This window comes from Homo sapiens, chromosome 5 (assembly GCF_000001405.40).
Source record: "Homo sapiens chromosome 5, GRCh38.p14 Primary Assembly".
Lineage (NCBI taxonomy): Eukaryota > Metazoa > Chordata > Mammalia > Primates > Hominidae > Homo > Homo sapiens.
In genome coordinates, this window is record NC_000005.10 from 86,768,105 (window position 1) to 86,795,299 (window position 27,195).

A 27,195-nucleotide genomic window follows, 5' to 3' on the forward strand; every position below is an offset into this window, starting at 1 on the left:
GCATTTCTTTTCATATTTAAGCATGATAGCTATTAACAATTGTCTCCATTAATTGAAGATAAATTTTACAGTTAGTCATTTTATATTATGTCATCAGATTTTTCAAATAGAAAATTAAGTTATGTAAGGGCTTAAGATTTTTATTCGGATAGTAAATATTTTCTGGTAGGTAAATAGAACGAGAAAATCTGTATACATAATATATAAAGATATTCAGTATATATTTACTGAACAAAAAGAACTTTGTGTATAGCATGCCACATTTATGTAAAACAAAAAATATCTATTTTTGCATTTATTGCTTTTAAAAAGCCCTCAAAATTTGAAGAAAGTGTTAAACAGTGGGAGAAAGTGGGAGAGATAAGACTTGGTAGGTGGGAATTAAGAAATATGCCTACAACTTTAGACATAATTTAGAATTTATCCTGGATACATTTTATTTACACATTTATTTATGTTGCTTTTTCTTGTGAAAGTGGTAAGAACCAAATATTATGGTTAGATGTTTAATGATTTATCTCTTTGTCTGCATAGTAAGTACCTTTAAAATATTACTAAGTGGCAATTTCATATTGGGGATCTATTGAACTCCATTAGTCAAAGTTTTAGTTGTTTCATATATATCAAATTAAGCTTCTTCCTGGACATCCAGGATTTTCCATACATCCTCTCAAATCTAAATGGAGGCTCCCGAGACTCAACTCTTGCATTCTGTGAGCCCACAGGCTTAAAACCACATGGAAGCCACCAAGGTTTATAGCTTGCACCCTCTAGAGCAGTAGCCTGAGCTGTATCTGGGGCCTTTGAGCTGAAGCTGGAGCTGGAGCAGCTGGGATGCAGGGAGCAGTGTCCTGAGGCTGCACAGGGCATTGGGACACTGGGCCTGGCCCACAAAACCATTCTGTCCTCCTAGTCCTCTGGGCCTATGATGGAAGAGGCTGCTGTAAAGATCGCCAAAATTCCTTTGAGGCCTTTTCCCCATTGTCTTGACTATTACCAATTGGCTTCTCTTTCCTTATGTAAATTTCTGCAGCCTGCTTAAATTCCTCACCTTAAAATAGGTTTTGTTTTTTACCACATAGCCAGGCTGCATTTTTCCAAACTTCTATACTCTCCTTTCCCTTTAAATATAAGTTCCAATTTTAGGAGATTTCTTTGCTCATGCATATGAACATAGGTTGGTAGAACAAGCCAGTTTACATCTGAATGCTTTGCTGCTTAGAAATTTCTTCTACCAGATACCCTAAATAATCATTCTCCAGTTCAAATTTCCACAGACTCCTAAGGCAGGGGTACAATGCACCCAGCCTCTTTGCTAAGGCATAACAAAAGTCACCTTTGTTCCAGCTACCAATAAGTTCCTTACCTCCATCAGAGACCTCCTCAGCCTGGACTTCACTGTCCATATCACTATCAGCATTTTAGTTGTAACCATTCAGGAAGTCCCTAGAAAGTTCCAACCTCTGACCATTACCCACTTCCAAAGTAGCTTTCACATTTTCAGATACCTTTATAGCAGTGCCCTACTCCTCAGTACCAATTTTCTGTATTAGTTCATTCTAGCACTGCTAAAAAGATAGAGCTGAGACTAGGTAATTTATAAAGAGAAGAAGTTTAATTGGCTCACAGTTCTGCAGGCTGTCTAGGAAGCATAGTAGCTTCTGTTTCTGGGGAGGCCTCCAAAAACTTACAATCATGGCAGAAGGCAAAAGGGAAGCAGGCATATCTTACATGGCTGGAGCAGGAGGAAAAGAGAGGGGAGAAGTGCTATGCACTTTTAAACAACCAAATCTTAGAATAACTCACTATCATGAGAACAGCACCAAGGGGATGATGCTAAACCATTCATGAGAACTCTACCCATATGATTCAATCACATCCCACCAGGACCCACTTCCAAAATTGAGGATTACATTTCAACATGAAATTTGGGTGGGGACACAGATTCAAGCCATGTCAACATCAGTGGCCATATAGGTTATTTCCATATCTTGACTATGGTGAAAAGTACTGCAACGAAAATGGGAGTGTAAATATCTCCTCAAGATCTTGGTTTTAATTTTTTAAATAACAACCTAGAAACAGCTTTGTTGGATCATATGGTAGGTTATTCCACTTTTAATTTTTTGGTGAATCTTCATACTGTTTTCCATTCCCAACACAGGGTAAAAGGGTTGCGATAATCAATGCCTTTTTAAACATGACAAACTGAAATTCAGATATATTAAGTAAATTGCTCAAAGTGACAAGCCAACAAATGATGAAACTGGAATTCATACTCTGGTTTAATATCAAAAACTGCATTTTGCTCTTTTCTCTCACTTGCTTTGTTGCTGTTTTCGTTGTTGTTGGGTTTTTTTTTTTTTTTTTTTTTTTTTTTTTTTTTTTTTTTTTTTTTTGAGATAGAGTCTCACTCTGTTACCAGGCTGGAGTGCAGTGGCACAATCTCTGCTCACTGCAACCTCTGCCTCCTGGGTTCAAGCGATTCTCCTGACCCAGCCTCCAGAGTAGTTGGGAGTACAGGCATGTGCCACCATATCCAGCTAATTTTTTGTATTTTTAGTAGACATGGGGTTTCACCATGCTGGCCAGGATGGGCTCAGACTCCTGACCTTGTGATCCACCTGCCTCGGCCTCCCAAAGTGCTGGGAGTACGGGTGTGAGTCACCACGACCGGCTGCTTTTTTTTTCTCTCCCTTCTTTTCTTCCCTCTTTTCTTTCTTCCTTCTTTAATTTTACTGATTATTAATTCTTAATGTATATAGCAAATACATGGAAACTTAAACACTTGCATTATTCTGTACATTATTAAAAGTAAAGCTTTACATGCAATATATTTGACAGTTTATTTGAACAAAGAATAATTAATGAATTGGGCAGCACTCAGAACCTGAAGAAGTTCAGAAGGCTCTGCCCATAAGTGTGAGCGGTAAGTATTTATAGTTCACACATGGAAGCAAAATAGAGAAATCACCCAATGGACTAGGTATCTACCTTATGTGGGCATGGTGTGACAAGGCATTTGCCTTATTTAGGTATGATCTTATCAGTTGGATGCCTGTGATTGGCTAAAACTCAGCCAAGTGTGATTGGGTGAAACCTGGCTATTTGTTACAAAGACTATACTGCTAGTTAGGTTTTGCTTTGTTTATTACCAGGTTCAGTTGTAGTTTGTTACACAGGAACTCAGAGACAGCCTCAGGCTAGTGACTTCCAGGTTAAATTTAACAAAATTCTAAAGTGCTTAATAATTATTAGCAGGAGGATCTCCAAATTCCACATGTAGGTCAGAACAGATTAATTTGTAAGTCTCTCCACTGACAGGTTGACTTCTCTACCTAGAGCACTATTTCATCTTCACCTAACTTACTTTCCCCACAGATTTAAGCTTATAACCAGAAAAAGAAAAGAAGGAAGGAAAGAATGGAGAGGGAAAAGTTAACAAAACAAGAGTGAGAGAAAAGAGCAAAGTGTAGTCTTTGGCTTACACCAGGGTTTGAAGTTCAGATTCATCACTTTCCCTACAGATTTAAGCTTGGACCTCATTTCAAGAAGTCCTCCTGGATAACATAGGGAAGTATATATAATCTCACAGCGGTATACCCCTATATTTATAACATTTCTTACTCTACATTAAAATTGCCTATGCATTAAATTAAACATACCAATATAAAACTGGTTTTTAGTTGTAAGTGCAACTTTTCCATATGATTCAATATTGTTTGTTTCTTACTGTAGGTAATAAACCCTCAAAGGCAAAGATTGTTTCTTGATTACTAATAAATTCTCAGGATTTAGCACAGTGCCTGGAATACAATAGACATTCAACATATTTTTATGTAAATGAACAAATGAAATAGATGGGCAAATGAATGAGCAACAGATAATTTTACACATTATGAAAAAAGTGAAGTCTAATTAATCTACTGAAAACTATCCCATTAGTTTGTCCTCTACTTATCCAAAGCTATAACTTCATTTAAGATAGAAACTATATAGAGGTTTCAAAACAAAACATTTTCATATGCAATTTTTATATACTATTAAGAAATAAAAATAAGGCCTAGATGCATATGAAATCAATGGGAGGATTTACTGTTGTTTTTCTGTTTGGTTTCTTTTTATTTGGTTATTTGTAATACAAACACATATGACTTATTTTAACATAAATAGATGACTTCTTAAATTTACTCGTTATAAAGTAAAATTCTTTTTAAGATTTTTTTTATTATACTTTAAGTTCTGGAATACATATGCAAAATGTGCAGGTTTGTTACATAGGTATACATGTGCCATGCTGGTTTGCTGCACCCATCGACTTGTCATTTATATTAGGTGTTTCTCCTAATGTTATCCCTCCACCAGCCCCCCACCCCCCAACAGGCCCCAGTGTGTGATGTTCCCTTCCCTGTGTCCATGTGTTCTCATTGTTCAACTCCGACTTATGAGTGAGAACATGTAGTGTTTGGTTTTCTCTTCTTGTGTTGCTTTGCTGAGAACGATGGTTTCCAGTTTCATCCATGTCCTGGCACAGGACATGAACTCATCCTTTTTTATGGCTGCATAGTATTCCATGGTGTATATATGCCACATTTTCTTTATCCAGTCTATCATTGATGGACAGTTGGGTTGGTTCCAAGAATCTGCTATTGTGAACAGTGCTGCAATAAACATACTTGTGCATGTGTCTTTATAGTAGAATGATTTATAATCCTTTGGGTATATACCAAGTAATGGGATTGCTGGGTCAAATGATATTTCTAGTTCTAGATCCTTGAGAAGTCACCACACTGTCTTCCACAATGATTGAACAAATTTACACTCCCACCAACAGTGTAAAAGCCTTTCTATTTCTCCACATCCTCTCCAGCATCTGTCGTTTCCTGACTTTTTAATGATTGCTATTCTAACTGGCATGAGATAGTATCTCATTGTGGTTTTGACTTGCATTTCTCTGATGATGAGCATTTCTTCATAATTTTGTTGCTTGCATAAATGTCTTCTTTTGAGAAATGTCTGTTCATATCCTTCACCCAATTTTGATGGGGTAGCTTATATTTTTCTTGTAAATTTGTTTAAGTTCTTTGTAGATTCTGGATAATAGCCCTTTGTCAGATGGATAGATTGCAAAAATTTTCTCCCATTCTGTAGGTTGCCTATTCACTCTGCTGATAGTTTCTTTTGCTGTGCAGAAGCTCTTTAGTTTAATTAGATCCTATTTGTCAATTTTGGCTTTTGTTGTCATTGCTTTTCGTGTTTTAGACATGAAGTCCTTGCCCATGCCTATGTCCTGAATGGTATTGCCTAGGTTTTCTTTTAGGGTTTTTATGGTTTTAGGTCTAACATTTAAGTCTTTAATCCATCTTGAGTTAATTTTTGTGTAAGGTGTAAGGAAAGGGTCCAGCTTCAGCTTTCTGCATATAGCTAGCCAGTTTTCCCATCACCAGTTATTAAATAGGGAGTCCTTTCCCCATTGCTTGTTTTTGTCAGGTTTGTCAAAGATCAGATTGTTGTAGATGTGTGGTGTTATTTCTGAGGCCTCTTTTCTGTTCCATTGGTCTATATATCTCTTTTTGTACCAGTACCATGCTGTTTAGGTTACTGTAGCCTTGAAGTATAGTTTGAAGTCAGGTAGCATGATGCTTCCAGCTTTGTTCTTTTTGCTTAGGATTGTCTTGGCTATGCTGGCTCTTTTTTGGTTCCATGTGAAATTTAAAGTAGTTTTTTCTAATTCTGTGAAGAAAGTCATTGGTAGTTTGATGGGGATAGCATTGAATCCAAGAATTACTTTGGGCAGTATGGCCATTTTCATGATATTGATTCTTCCTATCCATGAGCATGGAATGTTCTTCCATTTGTTTGTGTCCTCTTTTATTTCCTTAAGCAGTGGTTTGTAGTTCTTGAAGAGGTCTTCACATCCCTTGTGAGTTGGATTCCTAGGTACTGTATACTCTTTGTAGCAATTGTGAATGGGAGTTCACTCATGATTTGGCTCTCTGTGTGTCTGCTCTTGGTCTATAGGAATGCTTGTGATTTTTGCATATTGATTTTGTATCCCGAGACTTTGCTGAAGTTGCTTATCAGCATAAGGAGATTTTTGGCTAAGATGATGGGGTTTTCTAATATACAGTCATGTCATCTGCAAACAGAGACAATTTGGCTTCCTCTTTTCCTAATTGAATACGCTTTATTTCTTTCTCTTGCCTGATTACCCTAACCAGAAATTCCAATACTATGTTGAATAGGAGTGGTAAGAGAGGGCATCCTTGTTTTTTGCCAGTTTTCAAAGGGAATGTTTCCAGTTTTGGCCCATTCAGTGTGATATTGGCTGTGGGTTTGTCATAAATAGTTCTTATTATTTTGAGATATATTGCATCAATACCTAGTTTATTGAGAATTTTTAGCATGAAGGGCTGTTGAATTTTGTTGAAGGCCTTTTCAGCATCTATTGAGATAATGTGGTTTTTGTTGTTGGTTCTGTTTATGTGATGGGTTACGTTTATTGATTTGTGTATGTTGAATCAGCCTTGCATCCCAGGGATGAAGCTGATTTGATCGTAGTGGATAAGCTTTCTGATGTGCTGCTGGATTCAGTTTGCCAGTAGTATATTGAGGATTTTTGCACTGATGTTCATCAAGGGTATTGGCCTAAAATTTTGTATGTGAGTGTGTGTCTGTGTGTGTGTTTGTCTGCTAGGTTTTGATATCAGGATGATGCTGGCCTCATAGAATGCGTTAGGGAGGATTCTGTCTTTTCCTATTGATTGGAATATTTTCAGAAGGAATGGTACCAGCTCCTCTTTGTATCTCTGGTAGAATTCTGCTGTGAATTTGTCTTGTCCTGGACTTTTTGGTTTGTAGGCTATTAATTATTGCCTCAATTTCAGAACCTGTTATTGGTCTATTCAGAGATTTGACTTCTTCCTGGTTTAGTCTTGGGAGGGTGTTTGTGTTCAGGAATGTATCCCTTTCTTCTCAATTTTCTAGTTGATTTGCATAGAGGAATTTATAGCATTCTCTGATGGTAGTTTGTATTTCTGTGGAATCAGTGGTGATACACCCTTTATCATTTTTTATTGCTTCTATTTGATTCTTCTGTTTTTTCTTCTTTATTAGTCTGGCTAGCAGTCTATCTATTTTGTTTATCTTTTCAAAAAAATGCTCCTGGGTTCACTGATTTTTTGAAGGGTTTTTTGTGTCTCTATCTCCTTAAGTTCTGCTCTGATCTTAGTTATTTCTTGTCTTCTGCTAGCTTTTGAATTTGTTTGCTCTTGCTTCTCTAGTTCTTTCAATTTTGATGTTAGGGTGTCAATTTGAGGTCTTTCCTGCTTCCTCTTTTGGGCATTTAGTGCTATAAATTTCCCTCTACGCACTGCTTTATATGAGATTCTGATATGTTGTGTCTTTGTTCTCATTGGTTTCAAAGAACGTCCTTATTTTTGCCTTCATTTCTTTATTTACCCAATAGTCATTCAGGAGCAGGTTGTTCAGTTCGCATGTAGTTGTGCAGTTTTGAGTGCATTTCCTAATCCTGAGTTCTAATTTGAATGCACTATGATCTGATGGACAGTTTGTTGTGATTTCTGTTCTTTTACATTTGCTAAGGAGAGTTTTACTTCCAATTATGTGGTCAATTTTAGAATAAGTGTGATGTGGTGCTGAGAACAATGTATATTCTGTTGATTTGGGGTGTAGAGTTCTGTAAATGTCTATTAGGACTGCTTGGTCCAGAGCTGAGTTCAAGTCCTGGATATCCTTGTTAATTCTCTGTCTTGTTGATCTGTCTAATACTGACAGTGGGGTATTAAAGTCTCCCACTATTATTGTGTGGGAGTCTAAGTCTCTTTGTAGGTCTCTAAGAACTTGCTTTATAAATCTGGCTGCTCCTGTATTGGCTGGATATATATTTAGGATAGTTAGCTCTTCTTGTTGCATCGATCCCTTTACCATTATGTAATGGTCTTCTTTGTCTCTTTTAGTCTTTGTTGGTTTAAAGTCTGTTTTGTCAGAGACCAGGCAAGATTGCAACCCTTGCTTTTTTCTGCTTTCCATTTGCTTGGTAGATCCTCCTCCATCCCTTTATTTTGAGCCTATGTGTGTCTTTGCATGTGAGGTGGGTCTCCTGAATACAGCACACTGATGGGTCTTGACCCTTTATCCAATTTGCCAATCTGTGTCTTTTAATTGGGGCATTTAGCCCATTAACATTTAAGGTTAATATCGTTATATGTGAATTTGATCCTGTCATTATGATGTTATCTGGTTATTTTGCCTGTTAATTGATGCAGTTTTTCATAGTGTCAATGGTCTTTACAATTTGGCATGTTTTTGCAGTGGCTGGTACTGGTTGTTTCTTTCCATGTTTAGTGCTTCCTTCAGGAGTTCTTGTAATGCTGGCCTGGTGGTGACAAAATTTCTCAGCATTTGGTTGTCTGTTAAGGATTTTATTTCTCCTTCATTTATGAAGCTTGGTTTGGCTGGATATGAAATTCTGGGTTGAAAATTATTTTCTTTAAGAATGTTGAATATTGGCCCCCACTCTCTTCTTGCTTGTAGGGTTTCTGCTGAGAGATCAGCTGTTAGACTCATGGGGTTCCCTTTATGGGTAACCCAACCTTTCTCTCTGGTTGCCCTTAACATTTTTTCCTTCATTTCAACCTTGCTGAATCTGACAGTTATGTGTCTTGGGGTTCCTCTTCTTGAGGAATATCTTTGTGGTGGGTGGTCTCTGTATTTCCTGAGTTTGAATGTTGTCCTGCCTTACTAGGTTGGAGAAGTTCTCCTGGATAATATCCTGCAGAGTGTTTGCCAATTTGATTCCTTTCTCCCCATCACTTTCAGGTACACCAATCAAACATAGATTTGGTCTTTTCACAAAGTCCCATATTTCTTGGAGGCTTCGTTCATTTCTTTTCACTCTTTTTTCTCTAATCTTGTCTTCTCACTTTATTTCATTAAGTTAATCTTCAATCACTGATATCCTTTCTTCAACTTGACTGGTTCCGCTATTGAAGCTTGTGTATGCTTCATGAAGTTCTCATGCTGCACTTTTCAGATCCATCAGGTCATTTATGTTCTTGTCTACACTGGTTATTCTAGTTAGCAATTTGTCTAACCTTTTTTCAAGATTCTTAGCTGTCTTGCATTGTGTTAGAACATGCTCCTTTAGCTCAGAGGACTTTGTTATTACCCAACTTCTGAAGCCTACTTCTGTGAATTCATCAAACTCATTCTCCATCCAGTTTTGTTCCATTGCTTGCAAGGAGTTGTGATCCTTTGGAGAAGGAGAAGAGGTGTTATGATTTTTTAAATTTTCAGCCTTTCTGCGCTTGTTTCTCCCCATCTCTGTGGTTTTATCTACCTTTGGTCTTTTATGTTGGTGACCTGCAGATGGGGTTTTGGAGTGGACCTCCTTTTTGTCGATGTTGATGCTATTCTTTTCCGTTTGTTAGTTTTTCTTCTAACAGTCTGGTCCCTCAGCTGCAGGTCTGTTGGAGTTTGCTGGAGGTCCACTCCAGACCATGTTTGCCTGGGTACCACCAGTGGAGGCTGCAGAACAGCAAATATTGCTGCCTGATCTTTCCTCTGGAAGCTTCATCCCAGAGGGGCACCTGCTAGATGCCAGCCAGAGCTCTCCTGTATGAGGTGTCTATAGGCCCCTACTGGGAGATGTCTCCCAGTCAGGCTACACAGGGGTCAGGGACCCACTTGAGGAGGCAGTCTGTCCATAATCAGAGCTCAAAAGCTGTGCTGGGAGAACCACTTTTCTCTTCAGAGCTGTCAGGCAGGGACATTTAAGTCTTCTGAAGCTGTGCCCATGGCTGCCGCTTCCCCCAGGTGCTCTGTCCCAAGGAGATGGGGGATTTATCAATAAGTCCCTGACTGGGGCTTCTGCCTTTTGTTCAGAGATGCCCTGCCCACAGAGGAATCTAGAAAGGCAGTTGGCCTTGCTGAGCTGTGGTGCGCTCCTCCCAGTTCGAACTTCCTGGCAGCTTTGTTTACACTGTGAGCATAAAACCACCTACTCAAGCCTCAGCAATGGCAGACACCCCTCCTACCACCAAGCTCCAGCGTCCCAGGTCGCTCTCAGACTGCTGCGCTAGCAGCGAGAATTTCAAGCCATTGGATCGTAGCTTGCTGGACTCTGTGGGCCTGGGACCCACTGAGCCAGGCACCGGAGGGAATCTCCTGGTCTGCCAGTTGTGAAGACCATGGGAAAAGCATAATATCTGGGCAGAAGTGTACTGTTCCTCCTAGTACAGTCTCTCATGGCTTCCCTTGGCTAGGAAAGGGAAATCCCCCAACCCCTTACACTTCCCGAGTGAGGCGCTCCCCACCCTGCTTTGGCTTGCCCTCAGTGGGCTGCACCCCCTGTTCAACCAGTCCCAATGAGATGAACCAGGTACCTCAGTTGGAAATGCAGAAATCACCGGTCTTCTGCATCAATCTCACTGGGAGCTGCAGCCTGGAGTTGTTCCTATTTGGCCATCTTGCAAAGATTTTTATAATTGAAGCTGATTTGCTAAGAATAATAAGAATTTACACAACATTAGATGATTTGTATATGCCACTTGAAACTAGTTTATTCCATCTACTGATTGCCACACAAAATATAGTTGATAAAACTACATACTGATTAAACTATATCTTAAACAGGATTTTATAAAATGACTTGAGCTGATATTCTTAAATTCAGTGGATGTATCATCTGTTATACTATTTATACTCTTTCCTAGGTACTGTCAGCATGTAAAATACATAGCTTTCTGGCGTTGCCTAAACTCTCAGTAGTGCCTTTTACTAGAACTTTCTGCAGTGAGGGAAATGTTTTCTATATGCACATGCTCCAGTAAAATAAGTGTTAGCCACAGGTGGTACTAGAACTTAAAAGGTGATTACTATGAAAGAAAAAAATACATTTTTATTTTATTTTATTTTAATCAGTTTAAACTTAAATAGCCACATATAGTTAGTGGCTACTGTATTGAACAGTTAAAGAATTTCCTTTAAATATATATATATATATATATATTTGATTATTTGCTGTTCAGTTTGTTTAAGTTCCTTATATATTCTGATTATAAATCCCTTGTCAAATAGTCAAATAGTATGCAAATACTTTCTCCCATTCTATATGTTGTCTTTTGACTTTGTTGATTGTTTATTTTGATGTGCAGAAGCTTTTTGGCTTGACGTAATCCTACTTGTGTATTTTTGCTTTTGTTGCCTGTGTTTTTGGGGACTTATCTAAAAAATTCTTGCCCAAACCAATGTCCTGAAACATTTCTCCAATATTTTTTTCTAGTGGTTTCAGTGGTCAGGTTTTACATTTCAGTTATTAATCCAGTTTGATTTGATGTTTGTATATGGTGAGTGATAGGGGTCTAGCTTGATTTTCCCATATATGATTATCCAGTTTTCCCAACACCAATTATTAAAGAAACTACCCTTTCCCCAGTATATATTCTTGGTGCCTTTGTCAAAAATGTGTTGCCTAAATGCCTGGATTTATTTCTGGGTTCTCTATTCTGTTCCATTGGTTTATGTGTCTGCTTTTAAGCCAATGGCATGCTGTTTTGGTTTCTGTAGCTTTGTAGCATAATATGAAGTCAGGTAGTGAGATCCCTCCAGCTTTGTTCCTTTTGCTCAGGATTGCTTTAGATCTTTGGGCTCTTCTGTGGTTCCATACATATTTTAGACTTGTTTTTTCTATTCCTGTGAAGAATAGCATTGGTATTTTGGTAGGGATTTCATTGAATCTGTAGATTGCTTTGGAGAGTATAGACATTTTAACAATATAAATTCTTCCAATCTATGAGCATGTGTTGCTGTTGGTTTTCTTTTCTTTTTTTTTTTTTGGTCTCCTCCTCAATTTCTTTCATAAGCATTTTATGCTTTTCCTTATAGAGATCTTTCACTTCTGTGGTTAAATTTATTTCTAGGTATTTTATTTTAGTAGCTATTGAAAGTGGAATTGCTTGATTTTTTTTGTCTAATTGTTTGCTGTTGGCATATATAAATGTTACTGATTTTTTATGTTGACTTTGTATCCTACAACTTCACTGAATTCATTTATTGGTGCTAACAGTTTTTTGGTCCAATCTTTAGGTTTTTCTAACTATAAGATGATGTCATCTATAAATCTGATTTAAAAATGGACAAGTTACCCAAACAGACATTTCTATTTATTTATTTTTATTTTATTTTATTTTTTTGAGATAGACTCTCCCTCTGTTGCCCACACTGGAGTGTAGTGGTGCCATCTCTGTCCACTGCAACCTCCACCTCCCAGGTTCAAGTGATCCTCCTGCCTCAGCCTCCTGAGTAGCTGGAATTACAAGCACCCACCACCATGCCTGGCTAATTTTGTATTTTTAGTACAGATGGGATTTCACCATGTTGGCCAGGCTGGTCTTGAACTCCTGACCTCAAGTGATCCACCTGCCTTGACCTCCCAAAGTGCTGGGATTACAGGCATGAGCCACCTAGCCTGGCCCTGAATAGACATTTCCTAAAAGAAGACATATAAATGGCCAACAGGCATATAAAGAAATACTCAACATTACAAATAATTGGAGAAATGCAAATCAAAATCACAATGAGATATCTCACCCCAGCTAGAATGACTGTCTCAAAAAGACAAAAGGTAAGTATTGGCAAGGATATGGAGAAAGGGGGACTGTTAATACATTGTTACGGGAACATAAATTAGGATAGCCATTATGAAAATCAATATGGAGGCTCCTCAAAAAACTAAAAATGGAACTACCATATGATTCAACAATCCTACTTCTGATTTTAGATCCAAAAGAAAGAAAAGCAGCACATTGAAAAGATATCTGCTTTTCCATGCTTATTGCACCACTAGTCACAATAGCCAAGCCACAGAGTCAGTCTAAGTGTCTGTCAACAGATAAAAGGATAAAGAAAATATGGTACATATACACAGTGGAATATTATTCAGTCATACAAAATGACAAAATCCTGTCATTTGCAGCAATATGGATAGAATTGGAGGACATTATATTAAGTGAAATAAGCCAGGCACAGAAAGATAAATACCACACAAATACCACGTTCTCACTCATGTGGGAGCTAGAAAACAGTCTCATGTAGGTAGAGAGTAGAATGGTAGTTACCAGAGGTTGGGAACTGTAGGAGTGGGGTAGGAGATGAAGAGAACTTGGTTAATGGGTACAAAAATACGGTTAGACAGAATAAATCAGTTCTAGTGTTTGATAGCATAGTAGGATGACTATAGCTAACAATTTGTTGTATATTTCAAAATAGCTATATAAAAGAGAAGATTTGGAATATTACCCACACTAAGTAATAAATGTTTGAGGTGATAGATATTCCAGTTACCCTAATTTGACTTTACATGTTATATGCACGTATCAAAATATCATATATACCTCAGACGTTTGTACAATCATTATGTATCAATAAAAGAAAGTGAAAAGACACAAAAAAAGAAAAAAAAACATTAAGGACAGGGCTGTCTAAAGACACATTTGATACTATGTTAATTATACAAAAATAAAGATATTGTACAGTGTTCAGTTTTTTAAAAATTGCTGCGGTGTAGTTCTAGCCTACTTTCTCTTCCTCTTGTTTCTTGCATCTAACTCTTTTTGTTTTTGTTGTTCTCACTGAATAAATGCTTTGCTATGAAGTTCTGTGGGTGTAAACTCTCTTTGTCTTGGAAAAAAAAATCCTCATTTTTTCAAACTCGTGAATAGTCATTGGGTTGATATAAAATTCTATGCTGACAGTTATTTTTCCTCAGCATTTTGAAGCTATTGTTCCATTACGTCCTGGCATCTATTTTTGCTAATAAAGAGTTAGCTAGAATTTATTTGAGTTATGTTTTTTTCTCTCTTTCAAGCAGTATTTTCTTTATTCTTGATAGTCTATAGCTTCACTATTATGGGTCTTGGTGTGGATTTAATGGTATTCTGCTTGGTACTTTGAAGTATATTTTCAATTTAAGGACTCGTAGCTTTCTTCAGTTCTGGAGAATATTCTGCTCTTGTGTGTGCAAATGCAGCATCTCCACTATTTTCTCTGTTTTCCTCTGAAATTTCAGAGGTGTCTCAGTCTATCTTCCATATGTCTTCCCCTCTTATCTCTTTATCTCACTAGCAAATTGGTGAATTGGATAAGAATTCTGGTGAAATCCTCACCCAATTCACTAGTTTCCTCTTAGATTGTGCTAATTGAGCAATGTCCTGTGTTATTTTAATGCCATCAAAATCAAATCAAGGATTTGCACAAGAGTGTTTTTCTTTGGAATTTTGGATTGAAGACTCATTAAATGTTAAATGGGAAGTTCTTTTTTTTTTCCTTACTCTTCAACACTGTTAAATACAGGATATCGCTCAATTAGCACAAGAGTATTTTTCTTTGGAATTTTGGATTGCAGACTCATTTGAATTGGAAGTTCTGGGGTTTTTTTATTTTTATTTTTATTTTCCCCTTACTCTTCAAACCTGTGATCGACTCCACTCAGGCCCTTGAGGACACTAATCTTTACTCAGTCTTATATTGAGAGATGGGACTTCTTCCTGAGTTATACATTAGATGTCAGAAATCCTGTCCCCCTATCTGCAGGCAATTTAGTTTGCTTCCTGATCAACAGACTGTGTCTGTATTCTGTCACCTTTCTAAGTTGGAATGTTAACCAAGCTGTAGACTTGGGAGATTGTCTGCAGCATATTTGTTCATACTCCTTTTGTGAGCAGGGTAACTCATCCCATTAGTGAGAAAGGTCTAGTACCTCATCGTGTGGAACATGTTTAATCTCTGACTCTATAAGGGCCAAACTCCCAGTGATCTCTACCTGCTTCAGCACCTGAAGTCCATCAAAACAATAACTCCAGCCCTGATCATGGCTGTGTATTTCTGTCCAATTTCTGGATCACAGAGACATTATTCTCATTTTTTGGTGTTTTCTCTGATATTGTTGTGTTTAGAACAGAAGGGGTACCTCCAAGTGCAGACTTATAATGTCATTTTAAAAAGACATCTGCCTTGGCTTTTCTGCCACGTGTTGATCCCCTGAAGGTATGGACTTATCTTAGCATCTTTATATATTTAAAATCTAAAACAGTATATGTCTTTGTGCTTCTAAAACAGAAATCTGAGACTGGATAATATATAGTAAACAAATTTATTGACTCATAATTTTGGAGGCTGAAGTCTATCGTCAGAGCATCAGCAGGTTTGGTGTCTGGTGATGCCATTCCCCACCTTCAACCCTATGTTTGATTCTTCCACATCCATGGTGTGTCCTCTGAAGGGGAGGAAGGCTGGATCCTCACAGGGCAGAAAAGCCAAGATATAAAAGGGGGCCAAACTCATCCTTTTTAATGGCCTTAATCCCACCAGTGAAGATGAAGCCCTTATGGTCCTATCATCTCTTAATGGTCTCAGCTCCTAACACTGCCACAACAGCAACCCAATTTCAATATGAGTTTTGCAGGGGACAAACATTCAAACTGTAACAGTACACAATACTTGTGACTTAATAAACATATTCTTAAATAAATAATAAATATTCCCCTCTTTTGAAGCCAATGGCTTTAATTGGTTTCAGTTAATGCAGCTATAGATCTACAAGTGGTATGGAAACCAGATTGAGTAAAAGCCAAGAGAGGGTTAGGTCATTCCTAGGGTAGATTTCCAACTACACTATTCTCTAAATAAATGTTCACAGATGCAGATAAGCCTGTGAACATCTCCTGAGAAAGTGGGTTATTTATGCTGTAGATAATTTTATTTACTATGGGCCATCTCTACTCACAACCAATTTAAATGTTTGAAATGAATCAACCAGTTATAGTTTCATGTTGGTAATGCAGCAGTCTAACCCAAAAGTGTGGTGGTAGACATATTTAGAGCAGCTAAATCGGAACTTAACAGGTTTATATGTTAATGCACATATATTTCATTCTCAAAAAATACTTCAGGCCCTCACTTAAAGTCTATTTAATCTTGTTTTACACAAATATTATCAAATTTGACTCTCTGGTTTCCCAGAAGATCAAAAAGGAGGGAGAAAAATGCTACAGGCCAGCTGGTAGGTAAATTGAGATAATTGAAAAATAAATATTAATAATTAGGCAGGGTAAAGAGACTTGTATAAAATCATTTTGCTGAATCTGTTTTTGTTTTTTGTACTTAGAGAATCACTATATTATAGCCAAGAACAATTACTGACCTATAATTTATATTGAGACACTAAGAAAAGATTTAACTATGTTCACTAAATTCTGTGGTGGTTAGGGAGAAGCATGGTGAACACTGTGGCAATATTTACTTGCAAAAATTATTTAGTAGTATTCAAAATTATTTGTTAACTAATAATTGTACTCTATATAGCTGAGATAGTAGAATTGCTTCAGTCTCATTTAACTTCTGCCAAAATCATCTATATATTTTTGAGGAGCATAGAGTGGAGAGAAAGAGATTGAGAAGTTAAATAGGTTAGGTGTTGCTAATCACCATTCTTCATAATGCCCTGGAATGGATGAGATGGCAAATGTGATTCAATTTTTACCACATAGAGTCTCAGTTCCTACAGACCTCTCATCACATAGAAAGCCCTCACCTAAGCTAAGTAGGATACTAACTTTTAAAGGTATACTTTGGGGGAGGGAAGGTTTACAACAGAGCCAACAAATTACTTCATCTGGTTTTAAGTCCAAACTGTGATCTGTTGCAATGCCAGGGCTGAGGGGCTGTGGGACTGTCTCTGATAGATTTATAGAACAATGGTATGGTGATTGCTAATGTGGTCCCTTACGGATGAATTTTTAAGGTAATGTTACTTTCTTTGATTTTTTGTCATATGTGCCAATCTTCTGATCAAAGCTACAACTGAGAGGCAACTCCATAGTAATTAAACACACCAAGCAATGTAAGAGACAGAATACTCCCTGGCTTATAGGTACTTTTATCTCTTGTGCCTAGCACATAGTAGGTTTATATTAACTTTTAAAAATAAATACTTTTTAAACACTACTTTCCAGTGGAAAACCCAAAAGATACTACTGCTAGTTTACCCAGTATTTATCTGATTATTTCAGATTGCAGTATAATATTTGTGAAAGTAGAAACCTCATCTACCTTTTCCACTTCTATTTCTTGAGGATCTAGTACATGGTAGAAGTGTAATCAATATTCTGACATCCGTAAGTGAATGAGTAAATCAATCTAAAGTTGATGTAGGCACTCTTAGTCTTTAAGATGTGTTTTAAATTTTACTAGCAGCTAAGTGAGTCTGGTTAGGACTAAGAAACATATAGCAAGTAAAATAAGTGACTTTACTTAAGAATTTGAAGAGAAATTAATGACAATTTACATAATTAGTCAAGATCTTAATTGACTAACTCATGTTCATCACTTCTGTGCCTTTTAAGACCTTTAGGATGTATGAGAAAACATAAAATGATGTTTACCTATGTTTTAATTGAAAATGTCCAAGTGAATCAGGGGCTATAGTAGTTGATTATAATTATGTATGTATGTGTGTATATATATGTTGTATGTATATATATCAAATGTATATATCATATATGTGGGTGTCTATGTATATAAGTATATATATGTATGTGTGTGTCCATGTACGTATGAAATAGCATTACATCTCAAACACCCACTATGTTATATTTTTCAATGAATCTTTCCTCATATTCTCCCCTAGACCAACTGACTATGATGCATTCTGGATTTCAGCATCACTTATAAAGGTGAAGCAGACCCACGGGATCTATGAGCCTGTGGGCAACTAAACAGTAAATTATCATAAACTATATTTTGTCTGATTGCTTGAGAGAAGTTGGAGACATTCTGAGTCGGAATTACTCAATAACTGGCAAGGAGCAAGAGAACCTTCCCTCTTCAGAAAATAAATTATCTTTCACAATTCATCAAGGGTCTTTCTTAGGAAATCCAAATACCAAGTGAAAGAGTTACTGTCACTCTTAAGCTGAGTCAGATAAATGTTAACACGGTAGGGAAAAACAATTAGCAAGAAATAGAAAATCAGAAACACAAAATGAGCCCAAATCCATTTTCTTCTCTGAGAAAATCTTTTTCATTTTGCTTCTCCCAAAAACTTTTCTTTTTTATCTTTATTGTGGATTAGAGAAGTTGCCTCATTCCCCTAGAGTTCTGAAATTTATCCCTAAGCTTTTTTAAGGGTGAAATTCTAAGGTCTACACTTTATGTATAAGATCTGTCTTCAAGTTGTATTTATTTGTCAGCATAGCTAGATTGAAATTCTTTGACAGCAGCAATGGTTTTACAGTATTCTGTATTTTGTTTAAGTTAAATTGTACCACTCACACTAATGAAATAGATAACAACAAATCATACCACTAGTTTCACAAGCCATTGCTCCCTTATGTTCTCAAATATTGACTTGGCTTCATTTTAGAAGGCTGTACCTGACCTACTGGAATATAATATATTCATAAATGGCCTCTTTCTGAAAGCTATTTGCAAAAAAAAAAAATTTCCCTCTCTTTCGTTGTCCAAAGGCTTGGTGATTTAGTGGACAGTCTAAATCTTCTGAAATTTGTTTGCTACACACACACACACACACACACACACACACACACACACACACACACAGAGATCACACAAATGCAAACAAAAAAGAGAATGCTTGATATGGCAATATTAAATCTAGAACAGACAAAAATGTTTGGCATGTTTTCTGGCCTTCAATCTAGTAAATAAGTGGACTACCAAAAATAAAGGAAAAAAATAAAACTGGGCAAGTAGAGAAGACAAAGCAGGACAAAGATGTTGTGTTCCTGGAAGCATATTCGAGATAAAAGGAAAATATAAATCAAGCTGAGAAAATGTCCTTTGAGTGGCTTCCTGATGGAATGACACAATCACATGTTGAGAGCCATATGGGAGAGTTCAAACAGTTTTAGACCTGAGCCCAGAGGGCACTGAGGAGCCTGGCTGGGAGAGTAATTTGTTTTGTTTCTTGGAAGGAAGGCCAGAATGACTGATGCTTTGACAGTTCTGCTGGCTGATCAGCAACTCCCCCAACATTTCCTAAGCCTTTTATGAGAGATAAGACTAGAAGGGCAGAGACTATGTAGAGGGCGATGACAGGGAACAACACTCAGACTAAAAAGAGAGCCTGACACTACAAGCACATTCTAGTCAGACACAAGCTCGCACTGATTAAGCTGTTCACATGATTTTATATGGCCACTTTTACCAAGCTGTGTTTCTTCAAAAAAGAGCGACTTGTATTTCCATTGATATTAGGAAAATGGTAGGGTCTTTTAACATAAAATTGTGACACCACTTCCTCCTTTTACCGAAGTAAAAAATTTGAAAAGTCAAGGAGATGATGAAAATCAATATAAATTTTTTTTTGAGACAGTCTTGCTCTGTTGCCCAGGCTGGAGTGCAGTGGCACTATCTTGGCTCACTGCAACCTCCACCTCCCAGATTCAAGCGATTCTCCTGCCTCAGCCTCCCTAATAGCTGGGACTACAGGCACGTGCCACCATGCCCTGCTAATTTTTGTATTTTTAGTAGAAACGGGTTTTCACCATATTGACCAGGCTGGTCTCAAACTCCTGACCTCGTAAGCCACCCGTCTCGGCCTCCCAAAGTGTTGGGATTACAGGATTGAGCCACTGTGCCCGGCGATTTTTTTTCTTAAAAAATAGATGGCTACAAGAAAACATTTTCATTTTGGTTTAGAGGAAATCACACACTGAAAGTTTAAATTTTGTGCAGCATACAACCTACATATTAGAGAATTTCTATTATCAGAAATTAAATTAAATTCATTTCTAACCAGCAAAGAAATACTAGAAATTCAACATTTAAAATACTTCTCATTATTAACAAGCTAAAGACAAACTGTTGGAGAGTAAAAGATGTCAAAGAATTAAAAATGTGAGGTATTTGCATATATAGCTGCTCTCTGAAACCAATCTATCCCACCCAGAGAACTCCATGTAGACACAGATTACATGCTGAAAAATATACACGCTAAAGCAGTGTTATAAGTGATATAAAAGACAAAAAAAAATGCATCAAGCAGTTAAGGAGATAATTTTATTTAGGCCTTTATAATCAGGAGAATGTAAATATTCATTAATGAGAAACATCTTAAAAGGAAGAGGACTTGGGCCCCAAAATTAGACAAAGGAGTCATCAGATAATCTTTTAGGAGTCATCATAATGATGGAGACATGTGTTATCTAAGTCACTGAGGAAAGATGGAGATGGATTTTATCTTGCAATATGAGATTTCAGGTGGTCCTTGGTGGTTAACCATTCCTGAAACCCATTAAAGTGTGGAAATTTTTTCTAAAAGCACAGGTCTCAGACAAAGTTCAATGTGGCAATGGAAAGTAAAAAGGTGTCCACCTAGTTCTGGTTGCATGCATGCGGCACTAACCTTTCATTGGAGTAAGGTTTTCTGTACTGATTGCTATAATGTGTCTAAATTATTTATCAGAGTCTCAAGAAAAGAGAAGGAAAGAAAGGGGAGGGGATACAAGGGGTGTTGAGAGTTTCAATATTAATTAAGCAGAGCAGTTGATAATTTCAAGGAAACAAAAGATGAATTCACAGAGAAGAATTAACATGACCTCTGAGAACTTAAAGTACAATGAAAGAAAGATAACAAATAGAGACATTTATACCAGAGTTAGAAGAGCTAATGGTATAAAAAGAATTTAATACTTTGTATAAGCATAATAGATTTCCTCAGAGACATAAGAATTTTGGAACCCAATAGAAGATATTAGGTATAAAATATATAATTGTTGAAATTATACAGTGGATGAATTGAATAGTAGGATATAGAAAGCTGAAAAACAAATTAGTGAACTAGAATATAATGGTGAAAGAGCTCTTTAAAGGCCCCAGGAAAAGAAAAAATAAAAGGAAGAACAATAAAAAGATAAAGGGGAAGAAAGTGAACATTTTAACACCTATATAATAAAGGCCTCAGCCGGGCGCAGTGGCTCACGCCTGTAATCCCAGCACTTTGGGAGGCCAAGGTGGGCGGATCAGGTCGGGAGTTCGAGACCAGCCTGACCAACATGGAGAAACCCCATCTCTACTAAAAATACAAAATTAGCCAGGCAGCCTGTAATCCCAGCTACTCAGGAGGCTGAGGCAGGAGAATCACTTGAACCCGGGAGGCGGAGGTTGTGGTGAGCCGAGATCATGCCATTACACCCCAGCCTGGGCAAAAAGAGTGAAACTCCGTCTCTAAATAAATAAATAATAAAATAAAATAAAGTAAAATAAAAATATAATAAAGCCCTCAAAAGAAGGAAAAAATTTTACCCAGATTTAAAGAATGATAAAAACTCTCAGATAAAAAGACAGAGTGGACAGAATAGATCCTGAAAACCCTATACCACAGAAAACTCCAGTGAAATTTAAGAACATCAAGAGAGAAAGTCTTGTAAGCTTCTAGAGAGAAAAAAAGATCATCTAAAAAGCGAAAATTGAATTGATGTTAGACTCCTGTATAGCAACACTGAATAGTATTGAGGGAAAAATATTATTTAGATTTTTATAACCAACTAGCTGTTACTTAAGGTAAGGGCAAATAAAGTTTTTTCTTTCGTGCATACAACATCACAGAATTCTTAGTATGCAGAGACTCACCATCCTAATTCAGGTAGTTTGAAACGACCGTGAAATCTGCACTTGGGAAATACATGCAAGGTGATTTTGATGCAGAAAGTTCAGAGATGATTCACAGAATTTCCTTCCAGGGGAACTTAATTTAAAAAATGTAATTGTGAGCCCTTAGACTTGAAACTTTGGCTTTGATGAATAAGCCTGCAGAACTCAAAATAATAAGTAATAACTGCTAATAATCTTTGAGCCCTCATTCTCTTTCAGGTAACTTTTAGAATTTTTAAACTTATTTTTAAATTTTTAATTTTAAATACAGATTTACAAAAAAGTTGCAAAAATACTATAAGAAGCTCCCTTATACTCTTCTTTCAGTTTCTCCAAATGTTAAGTTACATAGCCATACTACAAGTATAAAAATCAGGAAATTAATAATATATTACTATTAATTAGTACCTACCTTATGAAAATTTCCGTAATTGTCTCATTCATGTCATGCTTCTGGTCTAGGAGCCAATCAAGAATCGCACATGGCATTTATTAGTCATTTCTCTTTAGTCTTCCAGTTTGTGACTGTCCCTCCGTCCCTGAGTCTTCCTTTGTCTTTCATGCCTTGATACTTTTAAAGAATACTGGCCAGTTATTTGTAAAATTTTTCTCAATCTGGGTTTGTTTGATATTTATTCATGATGAATTAATGTTACACATTTTTAGGAAGAATATTGCAGTAGTAATGCCGTCCTCTTCTTAGTAAATTTGAAGACACACAATTTTGATATATAGTCATGTAATGCGTAACAATGTTTTTGGACAACAATAGACCACATATAGCACAGTGGTTTCATAAGTTTATAACACCATAGTTTTACTGTACCTTTTCTATCTTTAGATACATAAATGCTTACCATTATATTATAATTGCCTACAGTATTCAGTACAGTAACTTAATGTGAAGCTTTTTAGCCTAGGAACAATAGTCTATACCATGCAGGTTGTATAAGTACACTCTGATGTTCCCACAAAGACAAAATTGCCAAATGCATTTCTCAGATCATTTGGATCATGTCTACTAGGTTTCTCCTCTGGACTTTTCCAAATAGTGACATTTTATTTCCATCAATCCTTCCTCATTTATTAATTCAAATTCTACCATAAGAAAGAGCTTTCCCTTCTTCATTCATCCATTTCAGTATAGACTAATAGACATTTTTCATCATATGAGTTATAATACATCACTATAATGAGTTTTTGCTCAAATAGTTCCAGATTTTGTCTTGGGATCTCCTTCAATTTATCTTCTGTGTGTTTTCAACCAGCTCATGTTATTTTTTGAATGCTACCTTATTTTTCAGCACTACAAAATGTTCCAAATTTGTCTTTATTTTCCCTGCCCCAGTCTTAAAACCAACCATTTCTCCAAGGGGGTCTTGGTTTGTTTTGTTAGAGAATGATGTTTGATACCAAGATCTGGAAGCTAGGTGTGTTCATTGCCAATGCTGTGTTATTGCTTCTAGGCCATTTCAGAGGAAAGCACTAAAAATATATATATGTATTCAACACATACTTCTTCATCTGTCTGTGTAAATATTAAAACCCATGAGTCGTGATTCTAATCTGACACTACAGGGTTCAGTCTAGCCTTTTCCATTTCCCTGGTGGAAATTCCTTTCTTCAAGGGAGAAAAAAAACTTGTTTCTCATTATCTAGAATATATTCATTTTCTCAATTCTAGAATACAAATAATTTCAAATTTGCTAATCCATACTTGTGTGAAAAACAAATTTACTAAGTAGAGTACAGTATTTGTATAAAGAGCTTCTGTTTTACCACGTAGAGTCAAAATACTGTTTTCCAAAGTTACTTGGATTAGTTTTTTTTTGTTCCCAACTGCCTTTACTGTGGTTATTTTATTCATTTGTAATAGAGTTGGATTCATTTGTTATGTTTCTATTTTATTTTGGATTCCACCCTCATCATGGTGAATTTTGTTTTATTTTTGAGCATGTAGAAACATTAACATGGTTCAAAAAGTCAGTTTTTTGGAAAGTTGTACGTAGAGATGTATCAATCCTTCTCATCCCCTGAACCGTATACTCCTTACTCTTTCTTTTTACCATATTCCCACCTATGTCCTCTATTTAACCAATCTGTTAGCTTCTGGTTTATTCATCCTGTATTTTCTTTTTGCACAAATAAGGAAATACATGTATATTTTCATATGGACCCCTGGTTTTATTTTTCTTACAGAAAAGGATGCATACTACAAATACTTTTGCACCTTACATTTTTTTTTTTTTTTTTACTGAATAAAATCCTAGGAATAACTACATGTCAGTTCATAGAAATAGTCCTAATTCTTTTCTGTAGCTGTATCCTACTCAATTTTCTGAATGTATGATACCTTATTTAGCCACTCTCCAAGGTTTGGGCATTTAAGTTGTCTATAGCACTTTGCAACTACAAACAATCCTGCAATGAATAACCTTGCGCATATACATTTTTTATATTCCTTGAAGTGGATTCTTAAAATGAGATTGTTAGGTCAAAAGATAAGTGCATATATAGCTTTGTTATTACCAGATTTCTCTCCAGAAGACTGGTACAAGTTTGTGTTCTCACAAGTGATACATGAAAAAATGCCTATTTTCTCAATGCCTTGCTAATAAACATGTTATGCTTTTCAATTTTTGGTATTCTTACAGGTGATAAGAGGTACTTCAGTGTTGTTTTAATATGTACTACTTTATAAGTGTGAATATCTTTAATCTGTTTAATGACTATTTACATAAAATATATATTTGTGAATTATCTGTTTTTCCTCCTTTTTCTATTACATTTTAGTCCTTTGCTCAATTTAAAAAGTAGTTTTTTTCTTAATGTATCAGGGGTATTACCTCTTTGTCTGTGGTACATGTTGTAAATATTTTCTCCCAATTTGTCTCTTTCAGCTTTATTTATGATATTTTTTCTGTCATGCCACAAATTTTTAATTTTATGAAGTCAAATTTATCAACCTTTCTTTTATTGCATCTGAGTTTTGAGTCAGAGTTTAAAAGTCTTTTCCTACTCCAAGGTTAAATATGAATTCACCCATGTTTTCTTCCAATATTTGTATGGCTTAATTTTTTAACATTTAAATCCCTAATTTGGAATTTAGTCTTTCAATGGTTTGAAGTATGGGTCTAACCATATTTATTTTTTTCCAAATGGCTACCCACTAGTTACAGCATTGTTTATTTAAAAGTTCACTTTTGTCTCTGTGATTTGAGATGCTACTTTATCATATACTAAATTTGTATATGTACTTGAGTATATTTCTGGGCTTTCCTATTACTTTCCTACTGGTGTATCTGTCTGTTCATGGGATAATACAATACTATTTGAATTATAGACTTATGGTATATTTTAACGTCTGACAATGCTAATTCCTCCCTTGCAGTTTTTATTTATTTTTACATTTTTCCTGGCTATTTTTGAATGTTTGCTTTTCTTTATGGGATTTTTGCATAAACTTATCTAATTCCAAAATAAAGTTTTTTGGTATTTGTATTGGATTTTGCACAATTTATAAATTAACTTAGAATAATTCACTTTAGGACATTGAGTCATCACATCCAAAAATCAGAGTATCTTTCCATTTGTTCAAATCTTTGTGTCTTTCAAGAGAAGAATAAAGCTTTTTTTTTTTAATACTTTAAGTTCTGGGGTACATGTGCAGAACGTGCAGTTTTGTTACAGAGGTATACACATGCCATGGTGGTTTGCTGCACCCATCAACCCATCACCTACATTAGGTATTTCTCCTAATGCTCTCCCTCGCCTAGCCCCTCACGCCCTAACAGGCTCCGGTTCGTGATGTTCCCCTCCTTGTGTCCAGAGAAGTATAAAGTTTTATTCATGTATGCTTTGTACATTTCTTGAATTTATTTCTAGGTGTTTAATCTTCTTTGTCATAAATGAGTTTTCCTCTTCCATGATGTCCTCTAACTGGATACTGTTTCAAATATCTTTATCAGTCCTTTTCATGTATTATCTCATTTAATTTTCACAACAACCATGTGAGATACATTTTTCTCCAAATACACACAACTAGTAGTAGCTGCCAAAGCAGGAGTTCTAAGGCAGGCAATCTGATTTCGATGTGCTATACTGCCTACTTTCCACTATTACTTTGTTTAGGAGTTTATCTAGAAACCATGGGCAACAATCTAATATTATTGTAGTAGTGCAAAGGAACATCCAAAGGCAAGGGGTCAAATTTGCAAGTTTTAACATGAGAACTCTGACCATGTCCGGCAACTTAACTCCAGAAGAGAAGAGGTAATGTAAGGGGTAGTAGTATATGGCTCCTTCTTCTTGCCTCCACGTCTAGCTGCAGCTCTGAAAAAAAGGAGGAAGCAGAATAAAGATCACAACTCTCTGGGCACAGGAGAATACAGCATAATTTTTTGGGTTGGGAGGTGTTTGGGCCATGGGGGTGGATCCCTCATGAGTGGCTTGGTGCTGTCCTCATGGTAGTAAGTGAGTTCTCGCTCTATTAATTCCCATGAGAGCTGGTTGTTAAAAAGAGTCTGGCAACTCCCCCATCTCTTTTTTGCTTCTTCTCTCACCACGTGAGCTCTGCACACACTGGCTCCCCTTCATCTTCCACCATGAGTGGAAGCAGCCCGAGGCTTTCATCAGATGCCCAGTCTTCCAGCCAGCAGAATTGTGAGTTAAATAAATCTTTTTTCTTTATAAATTACCCAGCCTAAGGTATTCCTTTATAGTGAAACTAAATAGACTAACACTTCCCTAATGCTGGGGGGGTTAAGCTGTTCAGGATGGTATTTATGCTGCTCATCTCACTGCATCAAGTTAAGCACACAGACTGCTTAATGATGCTTGTATCTGTTTTTTGTTGTTGTTGGGTTTCTTTGCCTCAACAAAAATGCATTTCTCTTTTTGGTAGTAGGTTTTCAGAAGATAGTTTCCAACTTTGAGGAACACTTTCAACAGAGTCCTTGGTGATAGATTAAGCCCTTTGATATGATAGATTCCCTGTTTAGAAGACTATAAAAATAGACAACTACAATTACGACTGTCAAGGCAGTCAACCTTTCAGTCACGCAAACACCACTGCAATATTCTCGAAAACAAAATCTGTAATAGTATTCATTACAAATGGCAGCATAAAGTGAGCTCAGTTTGCCTGGGAGAAGCATAATATGGTTTTTATTTGTGCATTTATCTAAATGGGGAAAATGATCTTATCCCAGGTATAAAAATACTGAACAGTCAGCCCAGGCAATACCAGGAAAGCTGAAGAGAAGGTTGAAAGGAAAGAAGGTATAGAGAAGCAAAGTAAAAGGTCCCCCATTGTTGACATCTGTCCTCTTTACTTAATTGCCAGTATTAACTACAGACAAGGCTTTCAGTAATAGCAAAGAGTTAAAACAAGCCAGAAACAAAGAAAAGTAATTTAGAAGAGGGGATAAGAAGTCAGAGTTCCTCATGCAGTACTTTATCTTAGAGAAGAAAGCTTTTACCTATATTTAATAAGTTGGTGGG

At 36.5% G+C, this 27,195-nt stretch overlaps 1 annotated feature.

The window, feature by feature from the left end:
- Nucleotides 19,015-19,215: a silencer, noted in NCBI's record as "peak5330 fragment used in MPRA reporter construct". NCBI's record gives its function as "represses an SCP1 promoter by STARR-seq MPRAs in K562 erythroleukemia cells {active_cell/tissue: K562}" and the evidence as "EXISTENCE:reporter gene assay evidence [ECO:0000049][PMID:32103011]".